The 24323-nt window shown below is 46.6% G+C and overlaps 4 annotated features.

The window, feature by feature from the left end:
- Positions 1 to 295: a silencer, noted in NCBI's record as "tiled region #4878; HepG2 Repressive non-DNase unmatched - State 24:Quies, and K562 Repressive DNase matched - State 7:EnhWF". NCBI's record gives its function as "represses a minimal TATA promoter and a strong SV40 promoter by Sharpr-MPRA in HepG2 and K562 cells {active_cell/tissue: HepG2 | K562}" and the evidence as "EXISTENCE:reporter gene assay evidence [ECO:0000049][PMID:27701403]".
- Positions 16896 to 17059: a silencer, noted in NCBI's record as "fragment chr4:185878684-185878847 (GRCh37/hg19 assembly coordinates)". NCBI's record gives its function as "represses an EF-1alpha promoter that drives an FKBP-Casp9 reporter gene in an ReSE screen in phorbol 12-myristate 13-acetate-treated (for megakaryocytic differentiation) K562 erythroleukemia cells {active_cell/tissue: K562(+PMA)}" and the evidence as "EXISTENCE:reporter gene assay evidence [ECO:0000049][PMID:32094911]".
- Positions 20674 to 21174: an enhancer, noted in NCBI's record as "H3K4me1 hESC enhancer chr4:185882462-185882962 (GRCh37/hg19 assembly coordinates)". NCBI's record gives its function as "activates a minimal SCP1, AML or CMV promoter by ChIP-STARR-seq in naive H9 embryonic stem cells {active_cell/tissue: H9 hESC(naive)}" and the evidence as "EXISTENCE:reporter gene assay evidence [ECO:0000049][PMID:30033119]".
- Positions 21175 to 21675: an enhancer, noted in NCBI's record as "H3K4me1 hESC enhancer chr4:185882963-185883463 (GRCh37/hg19 assembly coordinates)". NCBI's record gives its function as "activates a minimal SCP1, AML or CMV promoter by ChIP-STARR-seq in naive H9 embryonic stem cells {active_cell/tissue: H9 hESC(naive)}" and the evidence as "EXISTENCE:reporter gene assay evidence [ECO:0000049][PMID:30033119]".

Below are 24323 nucleotides of genomic sequence, written 5' to 3' on the forward strand. Positions count from 1 at the left end.
TTAGAATTTTCCTCACGTGGCTCGAATCCATGATCACGTGCTCATAAGAGCAAGAGGAAACTGAGTATGTGGGTCGTTAACAGTGAACTTCACCCTGGGCTGAGCTGGCCGAACTGTTTCACGGGAAACTCATAATCAGTATCTGTAAGATCTTCTTGGGCTGGTCAGATCCCCACAGGACTTTTTTTAGTCTCTTGCCTGGAGGATAATTGCCTGGCTAGGTTGACAGCATTCTGAGCTAAGGAAGACGGAGAGGACTGCAGGTCTCAGAATCCAGTGAGAATCTACTTACCTAGTCTCCCTATTTCTGGGATAGCACCCACTTCCACCTATGCCTACTGTCCCCTAGTCAGAAGACCTGTATTTTCTCTACAGAGAATAAATATCTAATAGTCTGTGAGTAGGGGGAGGGGCAACTGTCTGACTGCACAAATTGGATGAGGTGATGTGGAGGTGAAATTGCCTCTTGTTTTTGAGACAGGGTCTCTCTCTGTCTCCCAGGCTGGAGTAGGGGCTTGATCACAGCTCACTGCAGCCACGACCTCCAGGGCTCAAGCCATCCTCCTGCTTCAGCTTCCTGAGTAGCTGTGACTACAGGCATGTGCCACTATGCCCAACTAACTTAAAAACAAATGTTTTTGTAGAGATGGTGGTCTTGCTATGTTGCCCAGGCTGGTCTCAAACTCCTAGCCTCAAGTGATCCTCCTGCCTCAGCCTCCCAAAACATTGGGATTACAGACATGAGCCATGGTGCCTGGCCCAAATTACTTCCTAAAAACTTTCAACAATTCATTTAGGCCGGGACCCTCAGTGCTACCAATTCACAGCTGTTTAGAGACTCTGGTACAAATTAGCTTTCCTCACTGCTGATTTAAGATTCAGCTTCTTTATGTCTGCTAAGTCAGTTAACAGTCATGTGTATGCTTTCTGGATTCCAAAATTTATTGTCGTTTTCTCCTCTCACATTCTCCCATGCCATTAGAAATCTCCTTTACCATAGTTTTAGAGAGATATCAGGAGAGAGGTATGTTCAACCTGCTATCCTTATCTGGAAGTCACCATGTACTTTTGATGGTGCGTGTGACCTGGAATCTATATAAAGCCCTCCTGGCCTTCACAGAAAGTGCTACCCATCGAGGTCAGAGCTGTTTCTCTAACGCACCGAAGACTACCAGGACACCCGCAGGTAGGGTCTGAAAGCTCTCCACGTGGGACATGGGACCCTGCTTCTCTAGGTACCTGCTTGCCTTCCCTTGCTTGGGGGGCAGTGAGGGTGTGAGTGTGTCTCTGTGTGCTTGCCTGTGCATGTGTGTTTATGCGAGCAATGCTTGCTTAAAGGAAGTAAGGGAAAGTCGTGCATGAGATGATGAAACAGCTGAGAAAACCTTCAACACTGTCTATTTGTGACCCCTGATATTACAATTAAGAAATGAAGACCAGAGCAGGGTCATGACATGCTGGAAGTGTATTCCCAGGAGGGACCCAAAGACAATTTATTTTGCTCTATAAGTATTCACAACGCAAAACCACACAGCAAAATTAATGACAGAATTAGATGACAGCGTCACATCTGTGTCCTTCCCATCACACCCGCTCCCACTGCCTCCACTGTACAGAGGAGATGACCGAGATGCAGAGAGGTTGCAGGCTTTGCCTGCAGCTGTGCAACTAATGTGAATTGCTTAAGAAAAAAAACTAACACAGAAATAACAAAATAATACAGAGTCCTGATGTAGGAAAGAAATGCTGTGTTTACATTGGAATGTAAGCGGAATCCTATTAAAAACTTTAAAAACTGCTGTTTAAAAAAAAAAAAAACTTTCTGACCTTGAACCAATGAAACTTTTTTTGCACCTGAAGAGCAAATCCAAGATAGTAATAAAAATAAAGTATGAAGCATCTTGGTGTGTAGTTTATGACCCTTATCATATTTGCTAGAGAGTTCCCAGATGTGGAGTTTCTGCCTTATAATCCTTCTCGATGTTAAGTCATCCCTCTCCTCCGCTCACTGGTGGCTCCTTCTAAACCACATCTGCTTTTCCAGATGTGGGCTGGGCACACAGAAGCAGAGCACTGAAGATATCGCCTCCTAAACTTAGACCAGAGCCCTTACCTGCCACCTTCTTAGTTCCCTTTGCTCTAGGGCCTGTTACATTCAGCAGTCAAGGATTTCTCAGACACAAAGAGCATCAGGTCTTACAGGATAGCTGGAATGAGCTGTGGTTTCCTCCAGCACCTACCCAAACTGGACAGCTCAGGCAGAGAGTGTTAGTCTATTTGCATTGCTATAAAGGAGTACCAAGGCTAAGAGGATTATTTGGCTTATGGTTCTGCAGGCTGTACAAGAAGCAGGCCCCAGGGTCTGCTTCTGGTGAGGGCCTCAGGAAGCTTCCAAACATGATGGAAGGGGCAGGGGAGCCGGCATGTCATATGGCGAGAGAGGGAGCAAGGGTGGGGAAGGATGCCATACTCTTTTGAACAACCAGATCTTGCTTGAATTAATAAGAGCAAGAACTCATTACCATGGAGAGGGCACCCGGCCATTCACGAGGGATCCGGCCCCATCACCCAACACCTCCCGCTAGGCTCTACCTCCAACATTGGGGGGTCACATTTCAACATGAGATTTTGGGGGACAAATATCCAAACCACATCACAGAGGCATTCTCCGCCAATGCAGGAACCATTTGCAGTAAAATAGCCCAGGAAGGAGGTGACTGCTCCGTCAGCGCCATGATGCCAGGAGTTTTATTTTGCAAGAAGCAGAGTCAAAATAATAGAAAGAATGCGAATTCTTTGCCTAAGACTAGAATGTTGATATTTGGAAGAAAGTTCTTGCATCTGTGGATAAAGCGTGTTTCCCCTTAGACGGATTCAGAAGGAAATCAGACTCAGCCATTGCTGGTGGAGGGAAGATACGCTGTAGTTCGAGTTACCGCTGCTTCCTCCATGCACGGGACCAGGGCACCTAAATGCTTTCAAGGCCAGCAGAAGCCTGTACAGAAGGAAATTCTCATCAACATCTGGCTGAAGCAGGAGGTGGCAGAGTTCACAAGAGCAAGAGAGCGAAGCCTTTTGTGTGGGCCACTCTGCGGGGTCAGCCCTGTTGGCAGAAAATGACTCAGGAACACGGCCTACCCCCAGTAGCTGAGGTCCAGGAGATGCTCAAAGGGCACACACAGGAAGGTTCCAGGAGCTCTTGCTCTTCCAGGGAAAAGGAATGTGAATCAACCCCTTTCTCGAGCAGCCCAGCACAGAGAAAAGAACACAAGCGTGGGAGAGAGCTTTTACATTAGAACAAGAGGCCCGGCTTTGGACATGTTGCGTACATATTGAAAGGGGTACCTCCCACAGAAATGATACACACAGTAGGAGTCACGTTTCCTTGAAACAGAGCCCGAGAATTTTCAGTATTCCCCAAGTTGCAAACACCAGCATGAACACAGTTTTCCCTGTGAAACGTAAAGGTCCAGACCAAGCCATGTTGAGATGTGGGAGCTGGGCGGCGGTTTAACCTCGCTGGGGTGATGGAACTCACTCCCCTACGTTGATCCCATAATGCCCCCAATTCAAGTTTGTCAGTTGAGTCACTGCATTCATAAAATGAATGTTGTTCTTCAGCAGTGAGAAACACAAACCTTAAATACTCAACTGTCAAGAGTCTACTATAACAAAGATTTGTACCTACAAAAATAACCAACCTCCCTCTTCACCAAAGATGGGGGTGACCTGCCAATGCTCTGTGTGCTGACACGATGTTCAGCACAGAATGGCACAGACAGAGAGCACCATGCAGAGCCAAGACAAGTGCTGGGGCAAACCTCAGACAGCTTATCTTTTCATTCTCTTAGTGGAGCAGAAATTTTTAATTTTGATGAAGTCCGATTTATCAACTTGTCTTTTATGGATTGTATTTTTGGTACAAAATCTAGGAAATCCTTTCTTAAACCAAGCTCACAAAGGTTTTATCCTATATTTTCATCTAGAAGTTTTTTTTTCTTTTTTTTTTTTTAAAGACAATCTCGCTCTGTCGCCCAGGCTGGAGTGCAGTGGTCCGATTTTGGCTCATTGCAACCTCTGCTTCCCGGGTTCAAGTGATTCTCCTGCCTCAGCCTCCTGAGTAGCTGGGATTACAGGTACCTGCCACCATGCCCATCTAATTTTTGTATTCTTCATAGAGATGGAGTTTTGCCATGTTGGCCAGTTTGGTCTGGAACTCCTGGCTTCAGGTGATCCACCTGCCTTGGCCTCCCAAAGTGTTGGGATTACAGGCATGAGCCACCGCACCTGGCCATGTCTAGAAGTTTTACAGTTTTAGGTTTTACATTTACAGCTATCATCCATTTTGAATATATTGTTGTATATTTATAATGTAGGAGTTCAAATTCATCTCATCCCATGTAGATATCATTATCCCAGCACCATTTGTTGAAAAAACTATCCTTTCTTCATTGAATTTCCTTTGTACCTTTGCCAAAAAGTCAGTTGTCCATATATGTGTTGGTCTATTTCTGGTCTTTCTGTTCTGTTCTATTGATCTATTTGTTTATCTTTATGCCAATACCATATCATCTTGATTAATTTAGCTTTATAATAAGTCTTAAAATCAGGTAGTATTAGTCCTCCAACTTTGTTCTTTTTCAAAATTATTGTGGCCATACCAGGTCCTTTGCATTGTCATGATTTTTAGAATCCATTTTTCAATTTCTACAAAAAAGTTTGCTATGAGATTTTTTATTAGAATTGTGTTGAATCTATAGATTTGGGGAGTTGCTATTTTAATATGAATCTTTGAACCCATGAACACAGCCTATCATTTTACTTATGTAGGTTTTCTCTAATTTCTCTCAGCAGTGATTCTTAGTTTTCAGTGTACAGGTCTTTCACAACTTTTGTCAGATTTATTCCTAAATATTTCATATTTTTAATGCTATTGCAAATGTACTTTTATTTAAATTTCTAATTGTTTATTGCTAATATATAGAATACAACTAACTTTGGTATGTTGATCATATGTCCTGCGAAGCTCATTTATTAGTTCTACTAGCTTCTTTGTAGATTCCATCAGGTTTTCTACATGGATGATCATGTCTGTGAATAAAGACATCTTTCCTTTTTGATCTGGATGCCTTTTATTTTTTCTTGCCTATTGAACTAAAAACCTCTAGTACAATGATGAGTAGAAATGGTGAGAGCAGATATACTTGACTTGTTCATGAGTTCAGAAGAAAAGCATTCAGTCTTTTATGATTATTAAGTATGACATTAGCTATAGGATTTTCATAGATGTCGTTTATCAGGTTGAGAAAGTTTCCATCTACTTTTAGTGTGCTTAGAGATTTTATCAGGAAAGGATGATGGATTTTTGTCAAATCCTTTCCTCACATATATTGAGATGATCATATGGTTTTTCTTTTTCTACTAACTTAACGAATGATATTCATTAATTTTTCAAACATTAACCTTGAACTCCTAGAATAAACCCTACTTGGTCATAATATATTATCTATATGTATACACATACATACACATAATGTATTATCATATACACACCCACATCTGTAGTTGGATTTGACTGATCTGTAGTTTTCTTTTTCTTTTATTGTCTTTGTCTGATTTTGGTATCAGGGCAATGCCAGCCTCCATCTTCTGAAAAAGTTTATATAGAATTGGTATTATTTCTTCCTTAAATGTTTCATAGAATTCATCAATGAAGGTATCTGTGCTTGGAGTTTTCTTTGTGGGAAACTTTTAAACTACAAGTTCAATTTCATTCATAAATATTGGGCTATCTATTTCTTTTTGTATGAGATTAATAGTTTGTGTCTTTCAAGGAATTTGTCCATTTCAACTAAGTTGTTGAATTTAGTAGCATAAAGTTACATATAATATTCCCTTAAATCTTTCTGTTGTTGTTTGCTTGTTTTGTTGTTGTTGTGGTGGTGGTGGTGGTTGGTTGTTTTTTTTTTCAGAACGGGGTTTCACCATGTTGGCCAGGCTGGTCTCTAACTCCTGACCTCATGTGATCTGCCTGCCTGCCTGCCTCAGCCTCTCAAAGTGCTGGGATTACAGGCGTGAGCCACCATGCCCGGCTTCCCTTAAATCCTTTTAAAGCAGGGTTTCTCAACAGGGAATGACTGACATTTTGGACTGGATAATTTTTTACTGAGGCAGCATATCCTACACGTTGTAAGATGTTTAATGACATTTCTGATCTCCACCCACTGGATGGATGTCATAGTGATGCCCTCTCCTCAGCTTCCCAGTTTCCGGACACTGCCAAATATCTTCTGTGGGGGAAATAGCCCCCAGTTGAAAGCCATTGTTTTAATCTCTGCAGAATCTATAGTGATGGCATATCTGTCGATCCTGATATTGGTCATTTGTAACTTCTCTCTTTTTTTTCTTGATCAATCTGTCTAGAGATTTATAAATTGTATTGATCTCAAAGAACCAATTTTGGTTTCATTGATTTTTCTATATCTTTTTTTATTTCATTGATTTCTGCTCTGATCTTTAATGGTACTAGCTTTAATGGACTTTCTTCCACTTATGTGGTGTTTAATTTGCTCTCCTTTTTCTAATTTCCTAATTAGAAGCTGAGGTCATTGATTGAAAACAGTTCTTCCTTTCTAATGTGTTTATTGCTCTAAGTTTCTCTCTAGGTACTGCTTTAATGGCACATTCCACAAATTTTGATATGTTATGTTTTCATTTTCTTTCACTTCAGACTACTTTCTGATTTATCTTTTGATTTCTTCTTTGATCCAAGAGTTAATTAGTTGTGTGCTATTTAGCTTCCAAATATTTGAGGATTTTTAAAGAGGGTTTTTTGGTAATTGATTTATTATTTAATACTATGTGACCAGAGAACATACTTTGTCTGACTTTAATCCTTTTAAGTTTATTGAGGTGTGAAATATGTTTTATAGCCCACAATATGGTTTGCTTTGGTAAATATTCCATGTGCTCTCAAGAAAGTGTGTTCTGCTATTGTTGGGTGGAAGGTTCTATAAATGTCACTTAAGTTAAGTTGGTTGATAATTGATATGGTTTGGCTCTGTGTCCCTACTCAAATCTCATCTCAAATTGTAATCCCCACATGTCAAGGGAGAGATCTGGTGGGAGGTGACTGGATCATGGGGGCGGTTTCCCTGTTACTGTTCCTCTCTCTCTCTCTCTCTCCTGTCGCCTTGTGAAGACGTGCCTTGCCTCCCCTTTGCCTTCTGCTGTGATTGTAAGTTTCCTGAGGCCTCCTCAGCCATGTGGAACTGTGAGTCAATTAAACCTTTTTTTGTTTGTAAATTACCTAGTATCTTTATAGCAGTGTGAAAACGGGCTAATACAACAGTGTTGCCCAAATTTTGTATAGCTTCACCAATTGTCTCCTTGTCTCCTTAGTCCTATCAATTGAAGTAAGAAGGATATTGAAAACTCCATCTATAATTATAAATTTTAGTATAGATAAGTCAATTTTTTCTGAGATAATAGACAATCAAATATTCTCCTATGGATAGAGAATCCAGAAGGAAGAGATTATTTTGATAAAGAAAAGTAACATTTTTGAAATGGGAAGAAGCTTTTAATTTTCTTCTATTACACACATACAGGTATTCCAAAACAGTTAATTTAAGGATAAAAGAAAGGGAGGTATAACAGCAGTGAGGAACAAATGGACATAATGGGCGTCTGGATGTGATGCTCTGTAGTATTCAAGTCAAAATGAAAAATCTGAATTTAGTCATGATGAAATTCAGACAAACCTAAATTGAAGACCATTCTATGAAGTAACTAGCCTGTATCCTTCAGTTATTTAATGTCGTGTACATTATATTATCAGGATTTGTTTAGACCAAGGAATTGATTCAAATTAAAGGAAACTATAAAGAGAAAACAGCTGAATGTAATATGACCCTGTGTTGGATCCTGTTTCAGAAGAAAAAAATTGTAAGAAATTACATTATTGGGATAGTTGATGAAGGAGACAATGGGCTCTAGATTAGATAAATGTATTGTGTCAATGTCAATGTTAAATGTCCTGAATGTGATAATGGTACTATGGTTATGTTTAAAATTGTCCTTTTTCCTTTAGAAAATACACAGAAGAATTAAGGGATGATATATGTATTGCCTACTACTCTTACATGGCTCAGAAAAAAATAGCTGTAAAGAGAGAAAATGGTAAGACAGATGTAGCACAATGATAAATGTTAGTGAATAAAGGGCATACAGGAGTTCTTTGTACAACTTTTTGATGAGTTTAAAGTTATTTCAAAATGAAAAGTAAAAAAGAGAGAAAGTAAGAAAAGAAGGAAAAGGAAAGGGGGAAGGAAGGAAGAGAGAAAGGAAAGAAAAGAGGTAGGCAGGCCGTTTGAGTCGCTGCTTGAGCAAAGCCCTTGCATCTGTTCAATTCCATTCCACTGGCATCGATTTTTAACTTCAGGCACAGGCTGCACTAAGATTTCCCCAAATACTGCCCAGAGTGTACACAGCAGAGAGATGTGCTCCAGATGTATTTGAACATGGTTGGCTGTCAACAGCTCTGCAATGAATGGCATCTGCCTGGGAACACCCCTCAGGCCACATGTAGGTTACTTGTAAGTTAAAGCTTGTTTTGCTCCTGTGGGTGTTGCTGGCCTTGAGGATTTCCTTCCTCTCTTCCTACCCATCTATTCTTGCTCTTGCAGAAATGATGACGGGATGATGGGTAGAAAGAGGAGAGCAGCAGACTCTGGTGGCACTCTGTACAGTGTCCCACCTTGCACCTGGCCACGGTTTTGGCACTGAGTAGTTTGCCTCCATCTCCACATCATCCCTATCCTTCCAACTGCCCCATCCCACCCTCTGCCAAGCTTCTATTCTTCCTCTGTGGTTTTCCACAGTCCCTACAGGGTCAGACTCAGAGTTAATTACTCTGTCAAAATCATGCAGAATTGTGCATAAATTTAGGCTTTCCCGAAACATTAGCTTTCCCACTGTGTCTCTTTTCCCTAACTCGTTCTGAACCCATGCTCTTGGCCAAAGGTCTTCTGCAAAGGTCCCCATGAACATGTTTATACTTGAATGACAGCATTTTAATGTGTTACCCTCCCAGGGCTACTTGCGGTTAATAGAGACCACTAAATGGGTGCCCTTTCCATCTTCTGTGATGTAAGAGCAGACGCAGAAGGATCGTTGCTATTTTCTGGAGGCAGTTTTCACATATTTGGTGAGATTTTGGATTATATCATGATTCCCAAATCATATAATGCTACATAGCAGCTAATATCTATTTTCTCTATTCAAAGTCCAGGAGTGAGGGAATGCATCACAGAATGAAGAAGAAAGAGAATTGAGGGAAAATCTCTCCATGGAGGCAGGGGTAGACACGAGAGGTAGTAAGTGTGAGGCTGTAGTGCAAATTAAGACCACCTCAAGGTGCTGTGATTCTTGCTCCTTCATCCTTAACTCAAAGAAGCAAAATCCTGCTGGCAAAGCAGGCATTCCTGGCAGGCTGCGGAGTGGGGGGGGGGAATATTTTGCCTGAGACCCCCAGAGAAGACCAGATGGGCAGCTGCCTGGTCCACCCATGGGCAAGGCTGTTCCTGGGAAGAGCGTTGGATTGGGCAGGTTATAGGTCACGATCCCCTGCAGGGGGTGAAGGCTCACTGCTGAGATCTTCAGGACTGTGGAACTGGGGGATAAGTTCACAGCTGCTGTGAGTGACAGGGTTTCCAAGCACGGGGCACTTACCAAACTCCATGGAGGCCCTGGATAGCACAATGATCAGGATCTTGTCCCTGCAGGCCGGGCACAGTGGCTCATGCCTGTAATCCCAGCACTTTGGGAAACCAAGATGAGTGAATTGCTTGAACCCAGGAGTTTGAGACCAGCCTGGGCAACTTGGCAAAATGTCGTCTCTATAAAAGATACAAAAATTAGCCAGGCGTGGTGGCATGCGACTGTAGTCCCAGCTACTCAGGAAGCTGAGGTGGGAGGATTGTTTGAACCTGGAAGGTCAAGGCTACAGTGAGCCATGATTGCACCACTGTACTCCAGCCTGGGTGACAGAGTGACACCCTGTCTCAGAAAATAAATAAATAAAATGCTGGTTACTATTGTGGAGCAGAGTGGTGGCTCACAGGAAAGAGTGAGCACCCAGCCTGGGACGAAGATTCCAGGATCTGAGGCAGAGGAGAAGCTAGATCTCAAAGGAGAAGCAATATTTGGTCAGAAAAGTGGCAGGGCAGGAGGAGAGATTCTTCCAAAAAGCCAGAACAGGAACTTCAGGCAGAATAAAATCGAAGTCTCAAGACAGACAGGTGGCGTGCCCTTTCAAGTCCTTTTGGAAAAAGTCACAAACAAGATCCAGAGGGCCAGAGTGGTGACGGAGAGCCTCCCGGAGGAGACGAAGCTGAAGCCGGCCTAAAATGCTGGGGAGAGGCAGGACTGGCACGGTGCATGAGGAGCCGTTCACCACTGTGTGAGGAAGCCAGACCCGTGGGCGCACCTGCTAGAATGGCTACCACCAAAAGTGCGCACTAACAAGTGTTGGTGGGGATGTGGGAAAATAGGAGCCTCAGGCATTGTTGGTGGGAATGTGACATGTGCTTCCTCCAGGAGTCAAACATCGAGTCACCATATGGCCCAGCCACTCCACTCCGAGACATACACTCAAGGAAACTCAGAGCACATGTCCACGCAAGAACCTGTACCCAAATGTTGGTGGCAGCATTATTCACAAGAGCCAAAACATAGACGCAGCCCAAACGTCCATGGTGAGGCAAGATGTGGTCTATCCAGACAGCGAACTATTATTCAGACGTGAAAAGGCATGAGGTGCGGACTCACACGAAACACGGAAGGGCCTTGAAACACGATGCCGAGTGAAAAAGCCCGTCACTCATGCCGTGTATTGAACGAACCATTCCCTTTTTGTGAAATGTCCAGAACGGGCAAATGCATAGAGACAGAAAGCAGATTAGTGAAGGGGACGGGGAGGACAGGGAGTGGAGTGCGGCTGTCTCAGCAGATGTGGGTTTCCTTTCAGGATGGAGAGAACGTGCTGGAATTGGGTCCTGTGATGGTTGCACAATGTTGTGAGGATTAAAAACCACTGAACTGTACCTTTCAAAGGCCCATGTTATGGTGTGTGAATTGTATCTAAAAAATAAATAGCCACCAAAGGGCCTTGAATGACACCACTGAACGGGGCGCAGTGTGCCCGTGCGTGTTGGTGCCTGGTGTGTATGAGATGGGGCGACGCGTGGCCATGCATGTTGGCGCCTGGTGTGTATGGGGTGGGGGGACGCGTGGCCATGCGTGTTCGTGCCTGGTGTGTATGGGGTGGGGGACGCATGGCCATGCGTGTTGGCTCCTGGTATGTATGGGGATGGGGGGACATGTGCCCATGCGTGTTGGTGCCTGATGTGTATGGGGTGGGGGACGCGTGGCCATGCGTGTTGGCGCCTGGTATGTATGGGGATGGGGGGGACATGTGCCCATGCGTGTTGGTGCCTGGTGTGTATGGGGTGGGGGACGCATGGCCATGCGTGTTGGCGCCTGGTATGTATGGGGATGGGGGGGACATGTGCCCATGCGTGTTGGTGCCTGATGTGTATGGGGTGGGGAGACGCGTGGCCATGCGTGTTGGCGCCTGGTGTGTATGGGGTGGGGGACGCGTGGCCGTGCGTGTTGGCGCCTGGTGTGCATGGGGTTGGGGACGCATGCAGTAGAACCTGGGAGAGGAGTGTTGTACAGATGCAGGTTCTGGGGACACGCTGACCCACAGGGACCTCTGCACTGAGACACTCTGATGTTCCATAAAGTGGATGAAGCAAAATCAAAGAAAAGCATATTGATACAAAGCAGCTTCATGTTTCTGCATTTGAACTGCGATACAACCTGAATTTTCCATGCCAGTTTTGAGGCAAAAAAAGCCCAGTGCGCCTCTCCATCCTTTCATCAGTGCATCTAGTAAGCATAGCCCTTATCTGAGACTGCTTAGGGATGCAGAGCACAGGTCCTGCCATGTGCGCTGAGACACACACACACCCGTCCTCTGTCACAGAGGAGGAGGGGAGGGGTGACGTGGGCACCGCATTGTAAACCACAGGCCCAGGGATGGAGGTGTTTCCTGGTGTTGGCAGGAGAAATCTGAGCTGACCCCTGTTCAATGTATGGCATGTCTCCTGGAGGAGCCACCAGGAGTGGTGCCTTCATGGAGTTCCCTCCACGTGGGCTCCATACTGGTTCCCCACACCAGCACATGGCAGGCACTCCAAAACTATTCAGCTGAATAAATTTACCAAGTTAGCAAACACTTGTTAGTTTTGAGCAGCCCCAGAATCTTTTCCTTTGGGGAACTGCCCAGTGGAACCTCTAAACACGGGCTCCCTTCCCGCATGCAGGGCTGGCGCCTTGACCTGGGTTATCAGGGTCCTTCTCAGGGGTGATTCTGGGCCCTGGGAGAGAGGGTATCCTGCCTTCTGAGATCACAGGCATCAGGGATCATGTGAGGCTGGATTTCTGCATCCTAAGAACATCCATCCGTGGGAGGCTGGATCAGGCGAGGGCAGAGCTGGAGCGGACCGAGGACATCCCTTGGCCCCGGAAGGAGCGCCTCTTTTGTTTTGCTTAAGCTCCTTAGAGTTGGTTTCTGTCACTTGCAACTGCGTAAAGTCCTGACTAACACGGGGAGAAACAATGATTATTTTCATTTTACAGATGCAAAAACTGAGGCTTCAAGCCTTGGGCAAGTCACCTAAATGGCTTCTACATAGAAGGGAGATAATAGTAAGACCTAGGGTTCCCTACAGAATCAGGCTGGCAGGAGAATTAAGCAAAATAATCCATGAGATCCTTGTCGTGGGGCCTGATACAAGCTAAGTGCTGGGTTAGAGTTAGATATTGATATTAATACCCAGTGCTTAAGAAACCGCCGCCAGGTCACACAGCAAGTAAGTGGCGAAGCCAGGATTTGAACCCAGGCTGTCCGGCTTTAAGCCTGGCTGCGTCTGTTGAGTGAGAGGATGCAGCGTGAGAAGAGGAAGAATGGGAAACAGCCTTGGGAGGGCCGGTTAGGATCAGAGCTGGAGAACCTTGAATGCCATTGAAAGGGATTTAGATTTTATCCTGCACATAATCAAAAGCCTTCAAAGTAAATCCAGAAGATTATTCTGGCAGGGGCATAAATATCTAGAGTTGAAACCAGGGACACCCAGCCTCTTGGAAAGCCTTTCAACAGTCTGGTAACATGGAGATGAAGAACTGAAACAAGGAAGAGGTACCAGAAACCAAGACAGGGACTGTGATTCCAGACAAGTTGCCCTTGAGATGGGAGGGCTTGATGATTATGTTTTGGATGCAATCCCCTGAACTGGGGACAGCGACTCAACTTCAGTGTCACACAGTAGAAATCGCTGTGCTACAAACGGATATTCAATGCACAGTTTGAAAATAGTTCAGTAACTTCCGGAAAGACAGTGGCTCCAGGCGCCACTCTCAAGGCACCCCACGATACTTGCCTTTTCAAGCCTGCAGGGCAGAATGCTGATGCCATTCACTGGAAGGACGAGTGGGTTTGGAAGTTCGGATAATAAATTCCTGTTCGGACTTGTGTGTGACAATGGGAGGAGTAAGCTGAAATACAGGCTGGAGAAGTCAGAGCTGGGAATTTGGGCATTGTCAGCATGGAGGGATGGTTGAGGTTGGGACTCAAGAGAGAAGACCCAGGAAAGCTCCCAGGAGGAATGCCTGCAGTGTGAATCCATCCACCAGCAGACCTCAGCCCAGAGAAGACGTAAGACATCCCACACATGTGAAAAGACAAAACAGATTCACAACCATCAGGACTTCTTTGTCCTGTATTTGTATTCATTTGCTAGAGCGGCCTTAACGAGAAAACACAGGTGGGGTGGCTTACGTGACAGAAAGTGACTTCTCAGAGTCCTGGAGGCTCCAAGTCCCAGGTCAGGGTGTCAGTGGGGCCACCTTCTCCAGAGGCCCCTCCTTGGCTTGCCAGGAATCGCCGTCTCCCCGGTGTCCTCACAGGGCCTTTCCTCTGCGTGCGCACGTTTCTGCTGTCTCTGTGCATGCACATTTCCTCTTAGAAGATCACCAGTCACACTGGATTAGGGCCTGCCCTGACGGCATCATCCTAACCATCACCTCTTAAAAGGCCTGTCTCCAAATGCAGTCCCAATCTGGGGTATTGGGGTTTAGAGCTTCAACACAGGAATTTCGGGGGACACGATTCAGCCCATAGAAATATCCAAGGTTGGTGAGCTCCTCCTCCTCTTCTGGAGAAGAGGCTACATCCTGGGAGTGCAGGCAGGCGCTTAGGGACACCATCGCTCCTCTCAAAGCCGGGACTGGTCCCCAGGGTGCTCTGCATCCTGCCTGGGAAGCCAAGAAGCCACCTGTGTGCCCAGAAATAGAGCCACCCACACCCATGGGTTCCTTTCTCCCGGCTCTTGTTGCCAGATGCACAGAGGCGGCTTGTGTCAGCAGAGACCGGTGAGTACATGGAAGAGTCCTTCTTTTCGTGACCCTCAGACCAGCAGGCGAGGAAGAATTCCTGCCTGGGAAAGAGCCTTGAGTGGGAAGGGCCAACCCAGGGCATGGGTTTGGAGCATGCCCTCTGGCTTCCTCTTTGAATGTACTCAGAAGTCTTCCCACAGATGCTCAAATGCACAAGTGGACAGAGCACATGTGTGTGTGGAGGGAGGAGGGCAGGGAGAAGGGCAGTCGGGCAGGTTCACTGGTCCCAGACCTCCTGAGGAATTCTGGGGAACTCAGCCTTGGCCCCGGGCATGTGTTGAGCCCTCCTGCCCTCTGAGCTTGAAGAACACACACTTCCTGGCAGGAAGAAGAAGTCTTATCCTTTGTATCCTGATTTTTTTTCCAACTTAAGGGAGGGGTTCCCCTGGAATCACTGGTAGACAACTGGAGAAGAATATCCCGGAGTCTAAATCTTTTTAATTATATATATTTTTCTTGTATGGATGCACCCAACTGAAGACATCCATTCCTTTGCGTATACAGAATATGAACATTATCTACAGCTTACCTACCCAAGCGATTTTTAGTTGTCTTTATCTGAAAAAAAAAAAAAAAAAATGCCATCACTGAAAGCAGTGCTGTGTCCGGAGCAAGCAAGGGCCTTGTATTTGCAAGAGTCAGGCAGCCGCCCCACCCCACGGGAGGCTGGGTGGTCACGCCTCAGTGCCAGCCACTGCTCTCAGTTCTGGTCTTTACGCTTCAGGTCATGATAGTATCTACCACACTGGGTTGTTCTGAACATCAAATGACCTCACACAAACTATGGACTCGATCCTTCTGAAAATGTTACCATCACAAAGATGAGGCAGCCTAGAGGAATAGAGCTCCAGATGGAGAGTTTGAAATCTGGGTTCTGATAACAACTTGGCCGTAACCTGTCTGGCGACCTTGAGCAAGCCTCTTTCTGAGATTCACCCTTCTCATCTATAAAATGGGCACCACGTCTCAGCTTTAACATATATCAAAATGATGGCTACACACTGGGTCCCACCTCCAGAAATTCTAATTTGGAGGTTGTGAGATGAGGCCCAAGAACCTGCATTTTAAACAAGCATCTTAGGTGATTTGGATGCAAATGGGCTGGTGAGCATGCCAAGTGGAGTACTGGTCTGGACCTTCATTCATTCATTCAAGAAGTGTTTGAGGCTGGGCACGGTGGCTCACGCCTGTAATCTCAACACTTTGGGAGGCCAAGGCGGGCAGATCACGAGGTCAGGAGATCGAGACCATCTTGGCGAACACGGTGAAACCCCATCTCTACTAAAAATACAAAAAATTAGCCGGGCATGGTGGCGGGCGCCTGTAGTTCCAGCTGCTTGGGAGGCTGAGGCAGGAGAATGGCGTGAACCCAGGAGGCGGAGCTTGCAGTGAGCCAAGATCGTGCCACTGCACTCCAGCCTGGGGGACAGAGCGAGACTCCGTCTCAAAAAAAAAAAAAAAAAAAAAAAGAAGTGTTTGAGCACTGTGTTAGTCTGGTTGTTACTATAAAACAGCAGTCCCTGGTCAGGCATGGTGGCTCATGCCTGTAATCCCAGCACTTTGGGAGCCCAAGGCAGGTGGATCACCTGAGGTAAGGAGTTCAAGGCCAGACCGACCAACATGGTGAAACCCCGTCTCTACTAAATACAAAAAACCAGCTGGGCATGGTGGTGCACGCCTGTAATCCCAGCTACTCGGGAGGCTGAGGCAGGAGAATCACTTGAACCTGGGAGGTGGAGGTGGCAGTGAGCCGAGATTGCGCCATTGCACTCCAGCCTGGGCAACAAGAGCAAAAACTCTGTCTCAAAAAAAAAAAAAAAAAACACCAGTCCCCCAACTTCTTTGGCACCAAGGACTGGTTTCATGGAAGGCGAATTTGCCACAGGCCATGGAAGTGGGAGGTGGTTTCAGGATGATTCATTTATTGTGCATTTTATTTCTATAATTATTACATTGTAATATATAATTAAATAATTATACAACTCATGATAGTATAGAATCAGTGGGAACCCTGAGCTTGCTTTCCTGCAACTAGATGGTCCCATCTGGGGGTGACGGGAGACCGTGACAGATCATCAGGCACTAGATTCTCTTAAGGAGCACATAACCTAGATCCCTTGCATGCGCAGTTCACAAAAGGGTTCACTCTTCTTTGAGAATCTAATGCTGCCGCTGATCTGACAGAAGGCAGAGCTCAAGCGGTATGTGAGTGATGGGGAGTGGCTGTGAATACAGAGGAGGCTTCACTCGCTTGCCTGCTGCTCACCTCCTGCTCTGCAGCCTGGTTCCTAACCTCCTGGTTCTGGGTGTTGGAGACCCCTGCTATAAAGGAACACCTGCGGCTAGGCAATTTGTAAAGAAAAAAGTTTGAATTGGCTCACGATTCTACAGGCCATACAGGAAGCATGGCACCGACATCTGTGCCACTTGAGGGCCTGAGGAAGCTTACAAGCAATTGAGGGAGAAGGGGAAGGGGGAGCAGGTGCATCCTATGGTGAAAGCAGAGTGAGAGAGAAGCTGGAGGTGCCGCACTCTTTAAACAACTAGATCTCACACGAATTCACTCGCTCTTGCCAGGATAGCACCAAGCCATTCAAGAGAGATCAGCCCCTATGACGCAAACACCTCCCACTAGGCCCCACCTCCAACACTGGGGATCACATCATGAGACTTGGAGGGATACACATCCCGATGGAACAAGCGGCTGCTATGTGTGTGAGGATCTGGAGAAGCAAGAAGGGCCTTGCTCCCCTGGAGCTGACACTGCAGTGGGAGAGACAGCCGTAAATGTGCAGACAGACAGATGCATAGCACAGTGGTAGTGATAGCTATGTGTGCGGAATGAAATGGAGCGGAGGACGGAGAGGGACTGGAACAAGCAGCAGAGCTTTCACAGAGAATCCATCTTGCCCATCACTCATGTCCTACAGCACCCAACACATCACTGAGCAAGTTTATTAGGCCCCCGTGCTGCCCAACTTGCTTCCAGAGGCCTTGAAGGACACCAAAGAAGACGCATGGGATGCAGCTGGAGGCCAACCCTCAGAAAGCTCACCCTTTAGTTGGCAAGCCATGAGCACATAATTCTAGAAAGCGTGTAATTACATGCCCCGCGCTGTTGGTGTGGGGCTAATTCCAGGTGTGGCTGAAGGTTGCCAGAGGTGGCGACCATCTCAGCAGGAGGTGGGTAGGGAAGCCTCTGAGAAGAGGTGGCTCCTAGACATTGCTCTAAAGGCATGTTAATGTGAGGTGGAAACAGGCCCGGGTGCAGAGCAGCAGGCTTTCCCAAGACTTCATGGCTATTTATGAGGGTGGCTGAGATGTTTGGACCTAGAGAGGTTGGATACCCAGAGCTAGCCAGAGAAGCAGAGGAACACTGGGGGAAACAGACACACAAGCTCTCACCTCGCCTGTGCTGCACACTAATTTTAGAGCCTCAGGCATGTCATTTAATCTCTCTGTGCTTTAATGCCTTCCCCCTTAAAGGAGGGATAATAATTTATGTCAGCCTCTCCCCAGGGATGGTATAAGGGGAGAAAGGAGATAATAGCTGGGAACATGATTGGGATAATAAAGAGTAACAGGAATAAGCCTATTATTAAGTATTAATGTTATGATTTTGCAGCTCACAATTGGCAAGCTCCCTGAATAACTATACCACGAAGAATCTTGAAGCTGTGGCTTCTCTGTGGGCACTTTATCTTCAAACCCATCAGATTCCATAGATACTAAAACCCCGTGTTCGAGGTTTTATTTTCTACTATATGATTTGAATGTTCATTAACTGCTTAAACCTTGCAGCTCCTTCCAAGTGGCTCCTGAATACTGCTTGGGGTTGCTTGAGCACGACGTTGAATAGGGCCCCGGAGATACCCGCCCTGATGTAAGCTACACAGAAACGGGAACTACCGCACACTCTAAAGTCTTTCCCATATTTTGAGTGTGAAAGCAAATTGTCATTGCATTTTGGAATGAACCCAGGGCTCTGTGTCTCCAGCCAGGGTGCTGGGGCAGCGGTGAGTAGAGGCGGGTTGCAGGGATGGTCTTCCTTGAGCATCACTTTAGTTCATGGAAAATAATTTGAAAGATTATGATATTAAGTCAGATGTGTTTAACTCAGTGTCTCTGGCCTCTTTAGACACAAGCCTGTGTCTAAAAAGTAAATTATCCTTCTCTTTTCAGATGGAAGTGATGATGTCGTGAGCTCACACCAGGCTGCTTGCTGGAACTTCCGTGAATGCTCCAGCACGCTGCCCACGGTACTCTGGGACATCTCGCTTGGCTTCACTTTTTTATCTGTGTTGTCTCCGGCCTCTGTACCTTCATGACAGGTCTGCCCGGTGGGGCCCAGCTGATGCCCCCCACTGCCTCCCACCTGCAGCCTGGTGGCCAGGACATCCACCTCTCCCATCCCTGCAGCTTGGCTGAGATGATGAGCTGATGTAAGCACGTGGTGCTGAGCCTTGGGGCTAGCTGGAGGACCACACAGAGCGTAAGAGATGCCTGCACTAAAAGGGCTTGGCTGCCCTCACAATTGCTGTACTGCCCGCAGCAGGCTTCCCTCCATGGACACAGGCGCCACCACCCACACCCCACCAGGAAGAATCCCCAGGTAGCTCCACACCTTGGAATGAAGGCCAAGCAAGCTGCAGAGAGGAAAGCCTTACTTTCCCCAGTCTCAGTCCACTTCTTTTTGTACTCTGGGATTAAACTCTTTTCAGGATGACTAACAGTGGAAGCATCTATTTGTTCAGAAGGAAACAGCCACTCCGACCCACAGGTTCTGGTCTCTGCCGGCCGGTGCCAGTCAATAGAGTAACTGATGATGAATTTCACAAAGCCCAGTCCATTCCGTCTCAGATGCCAATAAGAATCCGTCCAGGCCAGGTGCAGTGGCTCGCGCCTGTCATCCCAGCACTTTGGTAGGCCAAGGCGGGAGGATCATTGGAGCCAGTAATTCGAGACCCGCCTGGGCAACGTAGGAAGACCCTGTTTCTACAAAAAGAAAAAGGAATCCGTCCAGGAGGACAAACGCTGTCAGCTCCAATTCTAGGAGGTACATGGAGTAGTCACATTCATAGAGACAAGACATAGATTGGTGGTTGTCAGGGCCTGGCGGGAAGGGGAGGGGGAATTAGGGTTTAGCAGGTACAGAGGAAGCTTCAGTTGGTTGGATGAAAAAGTTTTGGAGCTAGGGCACGGTGATGGCTGTACAAAAATGTGAGTGTGTATCAGGCCACAGAACTGCACACTTAAAAATGAATACAATGGGGACTTTTATCTTATGCACATTTTATCACAATTTTAGCAAATCAGTCCAGGTTGCACCATGCTGCATCTGGACTGTTCTTGTCACCATCTCTCTCCAGTGTGAGGCGAGATAGAGGCCAGATCTGGGGGCAGAGTCCAGCATTGGCTGCAGGCCTCCTGTGAGCAAGCTTAGACCAAAAGGCACACAAACATTTCCCAAGAGCAACAACAGTTTCCTGCTCAGGCCAAGTCTGCATGTGGGGAGAAGAACAAAATATTTCTCCGAACTCTGCAGGGTGCAGTTCAGCGGGCACTCTCAAATGCACTCAGGGCGTGCAGGGGGCCCCAGGAGAATAATGAACATGCCTCGAGTTCATGGCTCCCAAAGACCCCGCCTGGTTCATTTTCTCAAAACAAAAGAAGCCTTTCTAGGGCATTAAGAGCTTCGACCTCCAGTGCAGAAACTGCTGGCGACTTTGAAATGGCAGCCCTCCAGCCACAAAGAAAATCTCCAGGCTCTGCATGCCGCGCTTACACACAGACATTGCGGCACTCTCAAAATCTGCACAGATTTGCAAGATGGAACTTGCCTTCAAAGAAATGTTGTCTCCCTTCTGGCTAGACATCCCTGCCCTTTGGGGTTCTTTGCTCTCTCGCCTTCAGCCTTCAGGAGCAGTTGAGTGGAAAGTTTGGGAAGTCTGAGCCGGGGTCAACTCTCTCTGGAGTTGCCTGCCTTGGGAAAGGCCCAGGTTGAAGTCTTCCTTGCTAGAGGCCCCGCCCAGACACCTGAGTAGCCCACCCTGTTGAACAGCTTAGCATTCTCCACTTGTAAGGACTTTGACTACAATGAGCCTGAAGGGAGCTGAAATGCAAGAAAAGAAAAAGAACAGCTTCATGTGCCACAGTGAAATCCCACCAAGAGAATTCTCTGAGATGGTTCACAAGCCCTCAACAGACCCTCCTGGGCACGCCAGACCCCCTGTCAGATCTCAGCAGCCCCAGTGGAGCTCTGGGGTTCACACAGTCACCAAGAAAAGGGAGTCCAGCAAGTCACTGCGGGTGACCCTAAGGTGGGCATGCATAGGCACTGAGCCTCTGTTAGGAGAGGATTCTCTAAAGCAAGAAAAAAATATTCGAACAACGATCAAATCTGGGCCCAAGTCCACGGATTGTGTTGACTACTCTGAAAGAGATTTTCCACCTCCCCAACTTTCGGAGAAGTTAATTTAAAAGAAAACCCTACATCTGCTGTTCTTTTTGGCTGCTCAGCATCTCAGCTTGTCCATTTCAGGAACCCCCTGCCCTGTGGAGGAAAAGCCTGCCTTGTATAGTACAGGATAAAAGTGCTGGAGAGCACCTGCCCGGACTCCCACAGTGAGCGGTGGCCCAGGCTCTGCCTGCTCCCCAGCCCTAGCCCAGGCTGTGGACTGGAAGTGGCTGATGGGAGGTAGCAGGGGTGAGGCCGGCTCCGCCCTGAGGATGGGTGTGGCCGCTGCAGAGGTTCTGGAAGCTCTGGGGACCGCACTGTAAACAGCTGCTGGTCCCAGCAGCAGCCACGGAGGTTCTGGGCTATGGCTGGGTGGTGCTCCTAAGTGGCCTCATTCTCCAGTGATTCCAACAGGACACCCGATACCCTTTCCAATACAGTCCCTTTCCACTTGAATGAACCAGAGTCTTTTTCTATTGCTTAAATCTAAAATTCCCAAATGCGGTATGCCACTAGCACTGTATGCCAGAGAATCTCTCATTTTCTTTTATTTTAAAAAATTTATTTTTCAAGGGCTTTAAGGGTACCAGTGGTTTTTGGTTACATGGATGAATTGTGTAGTGGTGAAGTCTGGGCTTTTAGTGCACCCGTCCCTGGAATAGTGTACATTGTACCAGTCCCTGGAATGTACATTGTACCCGTCCCTGGATAGTGCACATTGTACCCATCCCTGGAATAGTGTACACTGTACCCGTCCCTGGAATAGTGTACATTGTACCCGTCCCTGGAATAGTGTACACTGTACCCGTCCCTGGTAGAGTGCACACTGTACCCGTCCCTGGAATAGTGCACATTGTACCGGTCCCTGGAATAGTGCACATTGTACTCGTCCTTGGAATAGTGTACACTGTACCCGACATGTGATTTTTCATCCCTCCCTCCCCTGTTGCAAGTCCCCAATGTCCATCGTACCCACTCTGTATGCCTTTCCGTACCCATAGCTTAGCTCCCATTTATAAGTGAGAACATGTGGTATTTGATTTTCTGTTCCTGAGTGACTCTATTTTGTTTTAGGTTAAACCCTGACTTGGCAATAAAACCTTGAACATCCTGGGATACTTTTGAAGTCATATTTAATTCTTTGAAAGCACAGGCAGTGAAGTCCACAACTCCTGGAGCCCCGTCTTTATGGAGGAGAGGGAGGCAGAGGAATGGACACTATAGGCATTAGTAGTGAGCAAAATATTTCCCAATGGTCTGAAAGAATCAATGGGCCCAACTAAAGGATACCTGAAGATCAAGGCTTGCCGGCAGGAGGAAGAGCCGGTCTCAGAATACAGCCCAGGGCATGTGGACTGCAGAGGGCTGCAGAGAGAGGGACAGGCCTCCTGCTTCTCCTTCTGTGTCCCTCAGCCATCCTCCTTCAGTTTTCCCTGGACAATATGGTGCCAATCACATAATCGGAGAGTTGGGGACCCTTGCTGGGCCCTGCAGAAACTTGTGGCAATAAGGCAGAGGGCAGGTGCATTGAACGTGGGTTCAGAAGCCCCGGCCTGAACCAGGGCTATTCCCCGGCTGTGAGCTGGAAACTTTGATGGGGCAGCCCATGCGGTCCCTCAGGGCCAGCCTCCTCCTTTGTAAATAAGGGCAGGAGGGATTTAAATCACTGATTTAAGTCAGGGGTTCTCAAATTCTAGTGCAAGAACTGGTGCTAGACTGTGAAAAAGTATTCATTTTCACAGGTTGATGGAGAAAAGAGAAAACCACAATAACAAAAAAAGTAATAATTTTGTCCTGAAGCTAATTTATTTCTATTAAAATGCTGAGAAGTTCTGTTTTGTTACAATTCACTTTGCATGTGAATTCTATCACAGTGGTGAGGTGGATGATATGTATTCTAATTACTTCATCTGAGTGAATAAAAAGTTAGCAACTCAATACAGTTCTTCCAAATCTTTTTTTTTTTTTTTTGAGACAAAATCTTGCTCTGTCACCCAGGCTGGAGTGCAGTGGCGCAATCTCAGCTCACTGCAACCTCCGCTTCCTGGGTTCAAGTGATTCTCCTGCCTCAGCCTCCTGCATAGCTGGGATTACAGGAATCCGCCATCATGCCCAGCTAATTTTTGTATTTTTGTAGAGACAGGGTTTAACCATGTTGGCCAGGCTGGTCTTCAACTCCTGACCTCGGGTGATCCTCCCACCTTGGCCTCCCAAAATGCTGGGATTACAGGCGTCAACCACCACAGCAGGCCCCAAATCGTCTTTATAAAATTTTATCAGCCTGTGAGATCTAAAACTCTGGTAACTACTAGATTAACGTCTAAATTCCCTTCTACTTGTGTCTATGGATTTAGCTGAGTAGAAGTACCTGGAGTGTAGCGAAATAGTTGAGAGTCAGATTTTAATTTAACATGAAATACTAAGTCTAATACTCAGGCAATGAAAATACATGTTAGCACTGGTGGAACTGAAGGGATTGCTGTCTGCTATGTGCCATGAATGGATGACAGTAAAAAAGGTGGCCGGGCGTGGTGGCTCACGCCTGTAATCCCAGCATTTTGGGAGGCCGAGGCTGGCGGATCACGAGGTCAGGAGTTGTAGACCAGCCTGACCAACATGGCGAAACCCCGTCTCTACTAAAAATACAAAAATTAGCCGGGCGTGGTGGCGGGCGCCTGTAGTCCCAGCTATACAGGAGGCTGAGGCAGGAGAATGGCGTGAACCCGAGAGGCGGAGCTTGCAGTGAGCCGAGATCGCGCCACTGCACTCCAGCCTGGGCGACGGAGCGAGACTCCGTCTCAAACAAACAAAAAAACACCGAAAAACGGCATACTCTCTTTCAGCCACTGTGAACAGTGAACTGTGATGGCAACTAACGACCTACATTTTTTCAGAAAACTTTGAGGAGAGGACGTCGCTGTAACCTTTTACCTGGATAGCGGTCAGCACTCCCACTGTCAATCACTAACTCTTGGTCCACAGGGCACGTGTCACCTGCTTCCTTTTCAGAAATAGTAAGGGGTGACTTCATGTTGCAGTGCCCTAAATGGAGGATGAATCTGTGCTTGGAGAACAGTGGGTTATTTCAAAGTCTGTGTTTGTGAGTTGCTTAAATAGGATTTGTTTCCATTCCCCATGTGAGGTCCTATGCTATCTGGAGATAGAGAAATGGCATGAACCTGAATTGATGTTGATATTTTAAAGTTAAGTATCTTTACAATATGGAGCTTCACGAATTCTAAAAGTGCCCTGCTGTTGAGTTTTCTGTTTTTGCCATGTGTCCTGGGTCCCACCCAAAGGGTAAGAAATCCAAACTCTTTTTTTGCCTCTAGTCTAAGCTAGGGCT

This window comes from Homo sapiens, chromosome 4 (assembly GCF_000001405.40).
Source record: "Homo sapiens chromosome 4, GRCh38.p14 Primary Assembly".
Classification (NCBI taxonomy): domain Eukaryota; kingdom Metazoa; phylum Chordata; class Mammalia; order Primates; family Hominidae; genus Homo; species Homo sapiens.